The 14,995-nt window shown below is 36.7% G+C and overlaps 1 protein-coding gene across 29 annotated transcripts in view; it reads left to right on the top strand.

The window, feature by feature from the left end:
* Positions 1-1,191: 1,191 nt before the first annotated feature.
* The window catches only part of ZNG1A (Zn regulated GTPase metalloprotein activator 1A), a 58,220-nt gene continuing 44,416 nt past the window's right edge, over positions 1,192-14,995 (top strand). For 16 of the 29 annotated variants that reach the window (NR_174355.1, NR_174360.1, NR_174356.1 and 13 more), the window contains exons 1-4: positions 1,192-1,432; positions 4,464-4,550; positions 6,882-6,978; positions 8,076-8,167. Coding sequence is in view for 18 of the 29 variants with exons in the window: in XM_047423593.1 (XP_047279549.1) it covers positions 1,279-1,432; positions 4,464-4,550; positions 6,882-6,978; positions 8,076-8,167 (430 nt within the window). In the remaining 11 variants the exon portion in view is untranslated. Of the gene's footprint in view, positions 1,433-2,427; positions 2,526-4,463; positions 4,551-6,881; positions 7,760-8,075; positions 8,168-14,995 lie in introns of those variants that run through there. The other 13 variants (NR_174353.1, NR_174358.1, NM_001399799.1 and 10 more) reach the window with 7 other exon arrangements.

Here is a 14,995-nt window from a genome sequence, read left to right as displayed (position 1 = left end):
CTCTTATAATTTGCTGGGAAAATGTATCAATTTGTACAAACATTTTGAAAAATAATTGTGCATTTTCTTGTGAAGTAAAACATTTGAATAATCTAGGACCCAGCAATTCAACTCTTACACAGACACTCAAGAGGAAGTTGCACACACATATATCAGGAAAAATGTTCATAGCAGCCCTGTTCATAAGAGCAAAACCTGGAACAATTGAGAGGAAATGAATAAATTGCCGTGTAGCCACACAATAGAATACAAGACAGCAGTGATGCTGAAAAGTATAGCAAGCCTCAGGAGTTTATATATTATATGGATAATTTTATGAAGCTCAAAAACACCCAAAATTAAACAACATATTCTCTAAGTACGTACGTGGGATATGTGATAAAATTAAAAAGAAAACAGGGAATGATCAGCAATCCAGAACCAATTCATGACTGTTGTTACTATCTTATGGGGCAGGCTGTGGATTGGAAGCAGGGGCGGTGCACATAGGTACGTGTAACTTACTGGTAATGCTTTTACGTTAGGAATGACGTCAAAGGAGTTCACTATAAATTTATATTAGAAAGAAGGGCTATCTATGGATTAGTGATGAGAGTGTCATGCACCAGCAAATATGATTAATGAACTTAGGTTACCTGAGGTCCAAATAAATAATGAGAAAAAAGTAAATAAAAGTGATGCATGAATACTAAAAATTTGGAATTACATATATAATATGTAATAATAAAAAAAGAAAAAAGTGTCACTGGTTATCCTTCAGGTATAAAAATTACAATTAAAATTATAATGTTATAACCTTCCATTCTTTCCCCTATGAATTAAAACTTTTTTTTTTAACGAGACTAAAAAATCAAGGTGATAAAATCTATGCCCTGTGGGAACTGGTTAGGTCAGGCTACCCACTCCAGATTTCCAGCAGACTGGCCTCAGCTCTACCTACAGCCAGTAGCTTATTAAGGCTCTAGGCGCCAGTGACACCTTCAGACAGGTGGTTAGTGCGCCCTAGGGACTCTCCGCAGCGTCGCTCAGGTTCACAGAACACGCCCAGGGGCGTGTCCAGCTGTCGTCGGGGAGAGCCCACCTCCCCGGGGGGTGTGGCTAAGGGGCGAGGCGCTTCTCGTCCAGAGCCCAGGTAATCCGGGCGGGATCAGCGAGCGTCGCGATGTGATGACGTCAGGCCCCGGGCAGGCCGGGAGTGGCGTGCTGGGCGTGCGCGGCTGCGGTACGGCGTGTTGGTCCCAGCGGTTCAGCTGAGGTAGGGACGTGCTGTAGGCCGGAATGTTACCGGCTGTTGGATCTGCGGATGAGGAGGAGGATCCTGCGGAGGAGGATTGTCCTGAATTGGTTCCCATTGAGACGACGCAAAGCGAGGAGGAGGAAAAGTCTGGCCTCGGCGCCAAGATCCCAGTCACAATTATCACCGGGTATTTAGGTAACTAACCATCCCAGTCACAAAATGGCGTGACCTCTGGTGTCATGGGATTTTGCGGGCTGCCGGTGCCTCTTCTCCTGAGGCATTGGGGCCTCATGATCAAGAGCAAATGTCTTCGAGGTCGGGGCTGGGTCACTTGCTTCTCGTATGGGTTGCCTCTCATCTTGGGAGTTAATGATGCCCGGCCCCCTCTGCGTTAGATTCCCATTTCTCAAGTGAGATGGAAAGTTAGCCTTTGAAGCAAGGCTTTGACGCTAAGACACGCCCCCCTAATTGTCTCTGTGACCTCTTACCAAGTTATCTTACCTTCCTGACGCTCATCTACCTCACCTGAAAATGGAGAAATACCTGTCACCTGTGAAACAGGGCCGGAACCACCTACCTGTTGCCATTAAAGGATGTCCCGTCTGTAAAATGCCCGACACGTGGGGCTTTCGTCAGTAGATTCCCCTTCCCCACGAGCCAGAGTCCTCCAGCCAGCTGGCAGGGAGCGCTCCTATCTTAAACACTTTTTTTTTGAGGTCTGTTTGTAAACCACTGCGTAGGAAGTAAGAATAAAATCTCTGTCCTCCAAGACTATTTCTCAAACTAAGAACGTTTAGAGTGTACAGGGATACTCGAAACCACAAGTTTGTGAACTTGGTAGTTTCGTGAAGGGCGGTTTATGCACTTACACTAGAAGTTTCTTACTGGAAAAGTTTGAGAAATATATTTTTAAACCTTACAGTTAAATAGAAGGGCTAGAACAAATATATGGCTGTATTAGAAGTTTGGAAAAAGTTAAGAAATATAAATAAAATACTGTTTCCGGGAAATAATATTCCTAGTTGTTGCTAGAGACAGGTACAGACTTGGGCCACTTCGTGACCTTTTATGTAAAAATAAGAAATAACTGCTTTTGTTTTTTTTAAAAACTTTGTAGACTGTAAGTTTATTCCCGTTTTTTGCTCGGAAGTAATTTTATAAAGGAATTTATTTTTGGCGTTTCCCCACAGTTATTCAGAGGCTGCTCTGCTGAGAAGATGAACAAATTTCTTGTCCAAAACAATGTATTTCAAACGTGCCGCTCGGGCCTTTCCCGTATTGCTCACTGGTAGGTCAGTAGATCACTGGAGAAAATGATCTGAAGCTCAGGAGTGAGAATTAATACCAGCAACCTTGTTGCTGAATCTAGGGATAGTTTCACTCCTATCCCTGACCATTTTCCCTTTTTGAAACGCTGTTCTTTTGGCTTCTACTACATTTTTCTTCTGATTTTTCCACCTGCTTCTCTGGCTTCTTTTTAAGGCTCCCTCCTCCTTCCCCCTTTGTCCATCTTTAGCTACACACCTGTGTAATTTCTATTTTGATGTCCTACAACTTAAAACTTAACATGTCTGAAACTTCGTCTGTTACCATCCCCCCAAATCCTGCTTCTGTGATCCCAACCATTTGGAATACTCTAAAAGCCTCCTGACTAATCTGGAGTCTTGCTGCCCTTTAATTTATTCGTTGCATGTTAGCCTTAATGATCTTTATAAATGTCAATCCGACTGCGTCACACCTTTCAGTGGCATCCCTATGGGTTAAAATCCAAATTCCTTAACATGAATTACAAGGACCTGTAGGATCTGGATCTTGCCAACCTTTCCAGCCTGCCAAATTGGCCCCGCACAATGAACTAATGTTACTTCAAAGGTGCCAAGTGTTTTAGCCCCTTGGAATAGGTACTTTTTTACTGTGACTCCTCTGGCTAGATGTCCCTCTTAGGTTCTCCATAGCAATTTGTGCATCTCCTATTGAATATGTCACCCTGTGACATAATTGCCTCCTTATTCACTGAATTCCCCTCCATTCCCCCCTTCCCTTGATATTTCTAAGCTCTATGAAGGCAGAGACTATCTTGTTCACTTTTTCACCAAGGCCCAGCATAAATTTGTAACGTATTAGAAACCTTCGAATGAATGAGCTATGTCTTAAAGTGTTTTTTTTTTTCATAATATGGTTAAAAAGCCCTAGTAAATCTTCTCTTAGAAGATTTCTTACATTCACCCTTTCCTTTCAGTTTTCACATCACTGCCCTGTGAAACACTCATGTTCAGGGCCTCTGTCTCAGGCTTGGACTGGTTTTAAGATTTTCCTCATTGCCCTAAGTCTCTCTCTTCCATTCTATACTTCATATTTTTGTGATGTTGAGCTTCCTAAAGTACTCTAAATATAAGCCTTCATCTGTTAAAAAGCTTTGAAAGGAATATGACCTAAAAGATATTAATACCCTAATACTCCGTAAAATCTTCCTAGTTATAGGAAGATCTAGTTATATACTAGAAAACTTAATGTATTTCAGAAGACATGTATAGCCTACATGTAAAAGTTTTTAGCAGCACTGTAATAGTAAAACACTGGAAACAAACCAAATGTCCAACAAAAAAAAAAGATAAAGAAATGATATAGTCATACAATTGAACTACAATACTATGCAGTTAGGATTTTCTTTTTTTCCTCTATGAATTTTAGTGTGTACGGTTCACAAGACTATTTTTTTTCTACTGGAGATTGACATATTGGGTTTTATATGCCACCTGCTGGATAAAGTTGGTATAGCTTTATGAATTTATCTTACTGAACATTCTGTCCATTGTTGACACTACCTGGCTCTATTCCCCATTTCATAAAAACTTTTATAGATTGTTTAAAGCATACTATAAGTAGCCATATAGTCAGCCTGAAGTTGCGTCTTGTTAATGTTGAAATAAAAGGTCATTATAAATAAAAGATTGTGTGTAAATTTTAGGGAAGGTTAGGCTAGGTTGAAGAAGCTGTTTCAACTTGTAGGAGTGTTTGTAAATATTTATAAAATTTTATGTCTACATAAAGTATTTTGCAACAGGTTTCGAAGGATGCTTTAATCTTATCCTCTAGGATATTCTATGCTAAAATAATATATGAAAAATAGCACGCAAATTCTCAAAAACGTTAGGATTCTTTATATGTTTTTTGTATCTTTAAAATTATTTTGAATTTTTTTATTTACAAAAAATATGTTTTATAGGTGCTGGGAAGACAACACTTCTGAACTATATTTTGACAGAGCAACATAGTAAAAGAGTAGCGGTCATTTTAAATGAATTTGGGGAAGGTAAGTAAAGTTCAATAAATGTCATGTTGCAAGATTTTGTGTGACTGTTTATTCCTCTGGTGAATTGATATTCCATATTTAAAAATGAAAATGCAAGGTATTGTATTGATGTGGATAGCTTTAGAAAAGTTGGATTAATTTCTGTTAAGATTTATATGGGTTGAGATACTGAAATTAGTTTTAATAAAATTTTATTTTGTATAACTTTGGAATTCTTATTAACAGAATTAAACTACATTTTTACATGAAATAAATGACTCCAGAAGTAAAAATCTAGACATATGAAAAAACGTTTATTTTTTATTTTATTTTATTTTTTTTGAGATGGAGTCTCTCTCTGTCGCCAGGCTGGAGTGCAGTGGTGCAATCTCAGCTCACTGCCACCTCTGTCTCCTGGGTTAAAGTGATTCTCCTGCCTCAGCCTCCTGAGTAGCTGGGACTACAGGCGTGCGCCACCATGCCCAGATAATTTTTGTATTTTTAGTAGAGACAGGGTTTCGCCATGTTGGCCAGGATGGTCTTGAGCTCCTGGCCTTGTGATCCACCCGCCTCGGCCTCCCAAAGTTGCTGGGATTACAGGCATGAGGCACCATGCCTGGCGAAAAAATGTTTTTTTTAGGAATTAGGAAAGCACTTTTGTATGGACTCTATTGCAACTCATGAAAAATACTTGAAAATGCTTCTGTTATTAGTTAACTTTGTTTAATGTTTATTATCTGCAATGCAGTTAAAACTCAATATTTTAAAAATAAAGGTAAACATATGGTCTTTATCCTCATGTATTTTAAGTTATCTGTGAAAATAAGTGTGCTTAACTTCTCAACTGAAATATTAAACTGTAGTCAAAAAAATAGCTCTAGACACAATACTTCTGTTATCTTTATAGAAGTTTTTCTTCATAAGTATGAATTGTAATCAAAGCTTACTTCTAGCCAAAAAACAATATCTATTAAACGATTTCTTTTAAAATGTACTATTTTTTTTCAGTTGTAAAAAGTAAAAGAGCTAGGTTTTATGAACAGGATGGGAAGCCAGTTATATTCGATTTCTGGTTTTAATAAACGAAAGAGAAAAGTGCTTTTTAGGCAAAAATCCTGAGATTTCTAATAACAGACTGTTTTTTTCATCATCTTATTAAATAACCTATTGCACACTGATTACATTTATTCTTACTATTTTCTTTATTTTTTCCTGGATCATTTTTGCAATTTTATTTTTCACAGCATTCTCAATACTTTTCTTCATGTTTCATTAATGTTCTGTATATAGTCCAAATTCTGTAGCAACCTCTTTAGAAGCTCTTTATTAATACCTAGCTGAAATATAAAAAATATGTAAGTGTAAAACTACTCGATTTTATGGGAGCTCATTTGCTTAGTGGGCTTTTAGAACTTCACTGTTTGGTATATTTCTTTATTAGAGGAAAAGTAAAACATTTAAAATAATTCTTATAGATAACAAGCATTTCAAATGTAGTTTATTCTTTCTTAAGTAAGTATTGCTAGGAAAATATGTGAATTTGACTAAAAGTTTAGGTTTTTTTTTTTTTTTGAGATGGAGTCTCGCTGTGTTGCCCAGGCTGGAGTGCAGTGGCGCAGTCTCGGGTCACTGCAACCTCCGCCTCCCGGGTTCACGCCATTCTCCTGCCTCAGCCGCCTGAGTAGCTGGGACTACAGGCACCCGCTACCACACCTGGCTAATTTTTTGTAATTTTAGTAGAGATGAGGTTTCATTGTGTTAGCGAGGATGGTCTCGGTCTCCTGACCTCGTGATCCGCCCGCCTTGGCCTCCCTATAAGTTTAATTTTTAAATGAGCACGTGGTACACTGGCCAAAAACCTTCCTCAAGATGAACTAGGGTTTTTACTCATTGGGAATATTCAGCAGTTTGTCTAACAGAAACAATTTAGAAGAAGAATGAAAAGAAAAAGATAGATAAGGCAGTCTCTTAAGAGGTTGAAGGGCATACAAAATCCAGTATATAAAACATACTGGTCTATTTAGAAAGTTTACCCTGGACAAGAAAAAAATGCCTTCAAGATAGCTACTTTATTAAGAAATGGGGGTGGCCAAGTAAGAGGCCTAAGGAGGAAGTAGGTATGTTTATCAGTTTAGGATGTGTCTTTTTCAGGGCTTAAGTCATCTTAAATAAAAGCTAAAATAATGTAGTGTACTGTAATTTAGATATCGAGGCTGCATGAATAAAATGAAAGAATATAAGTTATAAAATGCAGTTTCTGCTTTAAGATCTCCATTATTGAGTTATCCTCATCTTTGTTTTTTTTTGGCTAATGGACATAAGCTAAAGAGTGCTGTTTGTTAATTATTCTAGGAAGTGCGCTGGAGAAATCCTTAGCTGTCAGCCAAGGTGGAGAGCTCTATGAAGAGTGGCTGGAACTTAGAAACGGTTGCCTCTGCTGTTCAGTGAAGTGAGGAATGTGTTTACTGTGTACATGGTTTACTAGAAATGTTTATTGATTATATTTCCAGCTTTAATTTTCTTGAGTAATTTAACTGAATTTACACAGTTTGCTTCATTGTATTTTCAAACAAATAGAAAATAAACTTATTAGGAAGCATTTTCTTAAAGTGTTTCTTGCTGTCTTTTCTATCTGCTCTAATGTTTTGGTCCTTTTATTGAGTTTTTATTGCTTTTGATGTCAGGGCTTATTTAATCTCTAGTGCATGAAAGTCTCATATGTAAAAAATGATTATTCTGAATTTAATCTGTCATTGGTCATACTTCTAAGTGTTCAATCTTATAAAAAAAATAAATGACTATCAAAAAAGAGAAAAACCTTACGTTATGTTCTACTAGTTAAGTTTTCAAGGACAGTGTTCACTAGTCTACCATAGACCCTAGAAGAGTTACCCAACACATAGTAGCACTCAAATATTTGTTGAATGAATTATAAAAATGACTACTTGTACTGTTAATTTTGTGTATTCTAGTGAATTAAATCTCTTCGGCATCATTTACTCCCTTAGGTATTTGACTTTGTGTCAAATGTTTTGGCAAGGATAAAATTATAACAGACTTTCTTGAACAACCAAAATATAATCTATTAAGGATTTTCCTTCACTTTTGATAAAATAAGAAAAAAGGAAATTAAAACCTTGCATCCTAATGTAAAATAGAATTATATGGTGTTTAATATCAGTGTCTCTTTAGCTATTATATTAAACTACTATAGTTAATACATTTTATCATTATTTTGTATGTTGGTTTTTAAAAATTTCATAAAGCTATAAAAAGATACTTGGTCAGATAAAGTTTCCTCTGCTTTTAATTTTGATAAAGTATTATGTATATGATTTCTTTTTACCTATTATATATATGCATCTATTGTTTTCTCACTGGTAAATATGGGACGGACATTTTGTTAGAAGGTTAGAAGTGAGTTAAATTTTCACATTCCCAAGGGTACTTTTGTCTCGGGTTGTTGAATATATTTTAAAGTGTTTATAATAATCACTTCAAAATATTTAGGTAATTAACTGTAAATTATGTTTTGGTATTCTCCAGGGACAGTGGCCTTAGAGCTATTGAGAATTTGATGCAAAAGAAGGGGAAATTTGATTACATACTGTTAGAGACCACTGGATTAGCAGACCCTGGTAAGAAGTGAGATTATTAATAACCAGAATATAGTTCTGTGATATATTGTAAATAGATGTATTAGAGGAATATCTAAAATGAGGATTAAAGCTTTTGTTAGTATTAAACCAAAAACTTTTTTTGGTTTAAAAGAGGAAAAGTACTCGGTTGTCATTTTCTTTGGCAGTTGAATGAATGAACAGAGTATTTCTTGGTACTTTTAAGCTGTTAATAGAATTTGAAGTTTTATTGATTGACTTAGGATTATTTGTAAGAACAGAAGTTGTTAAAAATAAGGACATGTAGGAAGAGCAGAGACGTTCTACCTCTAAGTACAGTTGTCCCTTGGCATCCATGGGGTATTAGTTCCGGAATCTCTGAGGATACCAAAATCTATTAATGTTCAAGTCCCTTACATAAAATGGTGTAGTATTTGCCTATAAGCTATGCACATCCTCCCATATACTTTAAATCATCTGTAGATTACTTATAATACCTAATACAATGTAAGTGCTGTGTAAGTAGTTATTACACTGCATTGATAAGGGAATCATGACAGGAAACTCTGAACTCTACTATGGAAAGCTACACAGAGTCAACCTGTTTCTAACAATGGGTTTCTGTTACCTTCTTACCAAGCTCTAATTCTTGATAAAGTCTGCTTATTTTCCCCAAATAACTTTTAGATAAAATCTTTATTTTCATTTTGCATAAAAGTTAGTGCTTATTCTGTGAATCTGACCCATACCATTATTTTTTTTTTTGATCTGGGTCTCTGGCATTGGGGCGATTTGTAAAACTATATTAAAGTATTTGGGGGTAATTTACTCAACAGGTCATAGTTGTCCAAAAGAAATATTGAAGTATCCTGAGAGTTCAAATGTGATCAGTGGTTATTGTACTTAAAACAATTACATAATAACATCATCCCCATGTTTTCAAAGTAGTATTGAATTAGGCTATTTTGGTCCTTATAGTAGGCATGGGTTTTCATACCTTTCTGATAAATCTGACTGATGATAGGACTTGGACTAATATGTTGGTGTTAAATATTTGAATCTGGTAAGAAAGAAAAATATATTGTATGCTTTTATTAGAAATAGCAAATATCAGTTTATTTCATCATAGCCAGTTTTGCCATTTTATAGACAAAAACTTGATACTTTTGAGAGTTTAATTAAACACGATTCAGCTTTTCAGAGGAAGAAAGAAAAACTAAAGATCACAGAGAAAGCTTTTATACAAATTGTAGTTATAAAAAATGTTAATGTTTCTTGCTTCTAACTTTCTTTACAATAAAGATTTTATTGTTTGGGTAAAGATGGAACATTCATTGTAAAAAAATTTAAATACCTAAAAAATACAAAGAAGAAAGTTGAAAAGTAATCATCTCACTTTTGTGATATACAAGTAGGGGCTGGGCATGGTGGCTCATGCCTGTAATCCCAGCACTTTGGGAGGCTGAGGCAGGTGGATCCCTTGAGGCCAGGAGTTCAAGACCAGCCTAGCCAACATGGTGAAATCCAGTCTCTACTGAAAATTCAAAAACTAGCCAGGCGATGTGGCGCACCCCATAATCCCAGCTACTCAGGAGGCTAAGGCAGGAGAATCGCTTGAAAGCTGGGAGGCGGAGGTTGCGGTGAGCCGAGATCACGCCACTGCACTCCAGCCCAGGCAACAGAGCAAGACTGTACACACACACACACACGCACATGCACATGCGCACACACACACACACACACACATTCATACACACACACACACAAGTAGGTACATTTTATTCCAGGGATCTCTCTATGCCAGTGCTACTTGGTAGTATGTTGAATGGCAGCCTCAGCCTCAGCTGGGAGCTTGTTAGAAAGGCAAATTCTTGACCAACCCAGATCTACTGAATCGGAATCTCTAAGGGAGGGGGTCAAGCAAGCTGTTTTTAATAAGCCCTTCAGGTGATTCTTATACTGTACAGCCATACCGCAGGGATATTGTGGGCTTAGTTCCATATCACTGCAGTAAACTGAATATCACAATAGAGTGAGTCACACACATTTTTTTGTTTCCCATTGCATATAAAAGTTATGCGTTTTGGCCGGGTGTGATGTCACAGGCCTGTAGTCCCAGCTACTTGGGAGGATCACTTGAGCTCAGGAGTTTGAGGCTGCAGTGAGTCATGATTGCACCACTGCACTCCAGCCTGGATGACAGCATGAGACCCCATTTCTTAAAAAAAAAAAAAAAAAAAAAAAAAAGCTGTGTTTATACTATACTGTAGTCTATAAAATGTGTAATAGAATTGTCTAAAAAACATACATACCTTAATTAAAAATATTTATTGCTAAAAAATGCTAACAATCATCTCAGCTTTCAGCAAGTCATAGTCTTTTTGCTGGTAGAGGGTCTTGCCACGATGTTGATGGGTGCTGACCAATCAGGGTAGTAGTTACTGAAGGTTGGGGTGGCTATCGCAATTTCATAAGATAATAATGAAGTTTGCTGCATTAGTTGACTCTCCCTTTCATAAAAGATGTCTCTATAGCACATGATGCTATTTGATAGCATTTTACCCACAGTATGACTTCTTTCAAAATTGGAGTCAGTCCTCTCAAACCCTGCTTTATCAATTAAGCTTCTGTCATATTTTAAATCCTTTGTTGTCATTTTGACAGTGTTCATAGCATCTTCACCAGGAGTAGATTCCATCTCAAGAAACCACGTTCTTTTCCCGTCCATAAGAAACAACTTCTCATTAGTTAAAGTTTTCTTATGAGATTGCAGGAATTGAGTCACATCTTCAGACTCCCCTTCTAATTCTAGTTCTCTTACTGTTTCCACCACATCGGCAGTTATTTCCTCCATTGAAGTCTGGAATCCCTCAAAGTCATCTGTGAGGGCTGGAATCATCTTTCAAACTCCTATTCATGTTGATACTTTGATCTCCCATGAATCACAAATGTTCTTAATGGCATCTAGAATGATGAATCCTTTCCAGAAGGTTTTCAATTTACTTTGCCCAGATCCATCAGAGGAATCACTGTCTATGGTAGCTATAGCCTTATGAAATATATTTCTTAAATAAGACTTAAAAGTCAAAGTTACTCCTTGATCAGTGGGCTGCAGAATGGATGTTGTGTTAGCAGGCATGAAAACAACATTAATCTTGTACATCTCCATCACAGCTCTTGGGTGATCAGGTGCGTTGTCAATGAGCAATAATATTTTGAAGGAATCTTTTCTTTTCTAAGCAGTAGATCTCAATGGTGGGCTTAAACTAAACCGTGCTGTAAACAGATGTGCTGTCATCTAGGCTTTATTATTTATAGAAAACAGGCAGAGGAGATTTAGCATAATTCTTAATGGCCCTAGAATTTTTAGGATAGTAAATGATTATTGGCTTCAACTTGAAGTCACCAGCTGCTTTAGCCTCTAACAAGAGAGTCAGCCTGTCCTTTGAATCTTTGAAGCCAGGCATTGACTTCTCTATAGCTATGAAAGTCCTAAATGGCATCTTCTTCCAAAAGGAGGCCATTTCATCTCCATTAAAAATCTGTTGCTGGCCGGGCTCGGTGGCTCATGCCTGTAATCTCAGCACTTTGGGAGGCCGAGGTGGGCAGTTCACGAGTTCAGGAGTTCAAGACCAGCCTGGCCAACATAGTGAAACCCCATCTCAGCTAAAAATACCAAAAATTAGCCTGGCTTGGTGGTGGGAGCCTGTAATCCCAGTTACTTGGGAGGCTGAGGTAGGAGAATGGCTTGAACCCGGGAGACGGAGGTGGCAGTGAGCTGAGATTGCACATTGCACTCCAGCCTGGGTGACAGAGCGAGACTCCATCTCAAAATAAATAAATAAATAAATAAAAAATAAGTCTGTTGCTTAGTGTAGCTACTTTCATGAATGATGTTAGCTACATCTTCTAGGTAGTTTACTACAGCTTCTATATCAGCATTTGCTGCTTTCCCTTGCACTTTTATGTTATGGAGATGGCTTCTTTCTTTAAATCTTGTGAACCAACCTCTGCTACCTTCCAACTTTTCTTCTCTAGCTTCCTCACCTCTCTCAGCCTTCATAGAACTGAAGAGAGTTAGGGTTGCTCTGAATTAGGCTTTGGCTTAAGGGAACATTGTGGCTTGTTTGATCATCTATCCAGACCACTTCATATCAGCAATAAGGCTGTTTTATTATCATTTGTGTGTTTACTGGAGTAGCACTTTTAATTTCCTTCAAGAACTTTTCCTTTGCATTCACAACTTAGCTAACTGGCTCAAGAGACCTAGCTTTTGGCGTATCTTGGCTTTCAACATAACTTCCTCACTAAGCATAATCATTTCTAGCTCTTGATTTAAAGTGAGAAACAGGTGACTGTTCCTTTCACTTGAACACTTACAGGCCATTGTAGGATATTAATTGGCCTAGTTTCATGTTGATCATATTCTTTATGTTGTCATGGTTCTGTCATAATTCTTTTAGTTCTATGTTTTAATAGTTTTGGTGCTTATTACCAGTACTGTTGCTTCTCCATTCCCGAGTTAGTCCATCTCCTGATTGAATTTCATTGTCAGGCAGTCTTTTCAAGTTACAGGTACTGCATGCATTCTTTGGGTTCTTATACACTTCATTGATTCAAAATATTTGTCTTTTGTTTTTATATTACTTGAAGGATTACTTGGCTAGGTATAAAATTTATCAGTCACACTTTATTCCCCCTCAACTTTGTAAATGTTGTTCCATAATCTCCTAGTGTTTGATTGGCTGGATTTCTTTGTCCAATGTTTTCTCTTTTTATTAGGAAGAATTTGTGAGTATTATAGTCTCTGAGTTTCAATGCTTGCTGTTTTCTTTAATGCTTGAGAATGTCTGTCTATTGCTTTCGTTCCTGAAAAATAACTTGTTTGGGAACACTTTCATTAGAACTTTGTGGTCCCTGTTTTATTATTTTGGGACATCTAGTGTTACTGTAGAAAAGTCTGATTTTTCTCCCTACCTCCTTGAAGGCAATTTTTTTTTTTAATCTAAAATGCCTGAGAGTTTTCTTCTTTATTTTTGAAATTCAGTAATATAAACAAGGTATATCTAAGTGTCACTTATAATCATTTTTCCCTAAATTATAGTATGCCCTTAGTTCTTCTAAGAACATTTTCCTTGTTTATTACCATGAATACTTTTTTTTGGTCAAATTATTAGATCCTCTACTTCATGACACCAGTTTTTTTAATACTGAATTTTCTTTTGTTGTTCGTATGTATTCTAATTGCTTTGATTTGTCTTTTACCTTTGCATTTACTGTGATCATCTGAAGCCTTTCTTTTTGTCAATAATTCTGTTTTCTCCAGTGTCTGTCCTGTTTTTGATATTTTAAATGAATTAATTGGTTAAGTCATTGTGTTATATAGGCTCTAAGTTTCTTTAGCGCTACAAACGCATTTTCATCTTATTCTGCTTCTTCTTGCTTTTGAGCTTGTTTATTATAAGGTTGTATTGTTTTCAAGTTCTTCATTATGATGAAGTTGTTGAGAATTTTCTTTAGTTTTTATTGGGTTATGTATCCTTCCAGAATGGGTTCTTTGCCACTTGTGTGCCCTATTCATTTCTTCATTTTGTGTTCTTTCTTGCTTTTTATTCCCTGTATGTGCGTGTTTCTTTTTGTCAGGCTGTAATACATATGCATACATGTTTCTTCTTGATGTGGGAGAACTTCTATGTGGTGCTGATGGGAAATATTTTTAATACTCCACTCTCCTTACCCAAGTTTGTTTTTCTCCTGAGCCCTAGTTTGAAAGCTGTATATTGTTGGAGTGGAGGGAAAGAGAAGGGAAAAGTGGTGATTCAGAGAGCCAAATGGGGCAATGTGGCTTTTAGGCTCTGCTCTCTTGAAGTACCAAGTATTTCACTCTTGGGTCTGCCCAACTGCTTATGAATAAAATTCCTTTGCCTTGTATGGGGACATCATTCGACCTCAGAGCTCTCATTTCTCTTTGTTCTGAGCCCTAGAATGTGACCTGACCTTCTCCTTCCCAAAGCAAAGAGATGGTTAAAACTCACTCTTGAAATTTTTTTGTTGACTTTTCCTTGTGTTGCTTATTCATTCCTCGGCTCTACTTTTTGTCATTTTGGAGTGTATTTCTGGTAAGTGTTTAGGATTTTGTAAACTATTTCCCTACAACCTCTTATTGGAGGTAGGGGTAGAGTTGGGAATGACCATCAATCACATATAACTTTGTTTCTTATTTTGACTATCAGTCTTCAAAATTTATGGCAGGCCCTTTTATATTTGGTTGCTGCTAATAAAATGTTGGCCTTTTTGTTTTATTTTTTGTTTTTATTTTTTGTTTTATTAGATTTTGAAGAAGGGAGATTCTAAAATGTAGTTCAGGTTTTCTCAGTGTCAGCACAAATAACATTTTGGGTTGGATAATTATTTGTTGTGAGGGGGTTGCCCTGTGCAGAGTAGGATATTTAACAACATCCCTGGCTTCTACCCACTAGATGCCAGTAGCATTCCCCTAGTTAAGACAACCAAAAACATCTTCAGACATTGCCAAATATTCCCTGGGGAGAAAAGCACCCTGATTTGAGAGCCACTGATCAATTTTGTTCATTCATCTTTACTCCCCCTAAATACCTACATCCAAATTTTAAATAGATCTTTCTCATGTAGTCTGGCAAGTATTATATCAAAGATAAATACCAGTTTTAGAATAAAGCATTAATATACTCTTACATTTCAACTTAAGAGGCAAATATTAACAGTAGGATTTGTAAACTATTTATTGGAATAAAAATCAATGAATTTTTAAAAATTACAAAATGATTTATGTATGTTAGATATTTTACTGAGTGAAAAAATTCATGCTTT

The sequence above is a fragment of the Homo sapiens genome, chromosome 9 (assembly GCF_000001405.40).
Source record: "Homo sapiens chromosome 9, GRCh38.p14 Primary Assembly".
NCBI classification, from domain to species: domain Eukaryota; kingdom Metazoa; phylum Chordata; class Mammalia; order Primates; family Hominidae; genus Homo; species Homo sapiens.
Note: the sequence above shows the minus strand (reverse complement) of the source record. Positions and strands in the feature narration are given on the sequence as shown.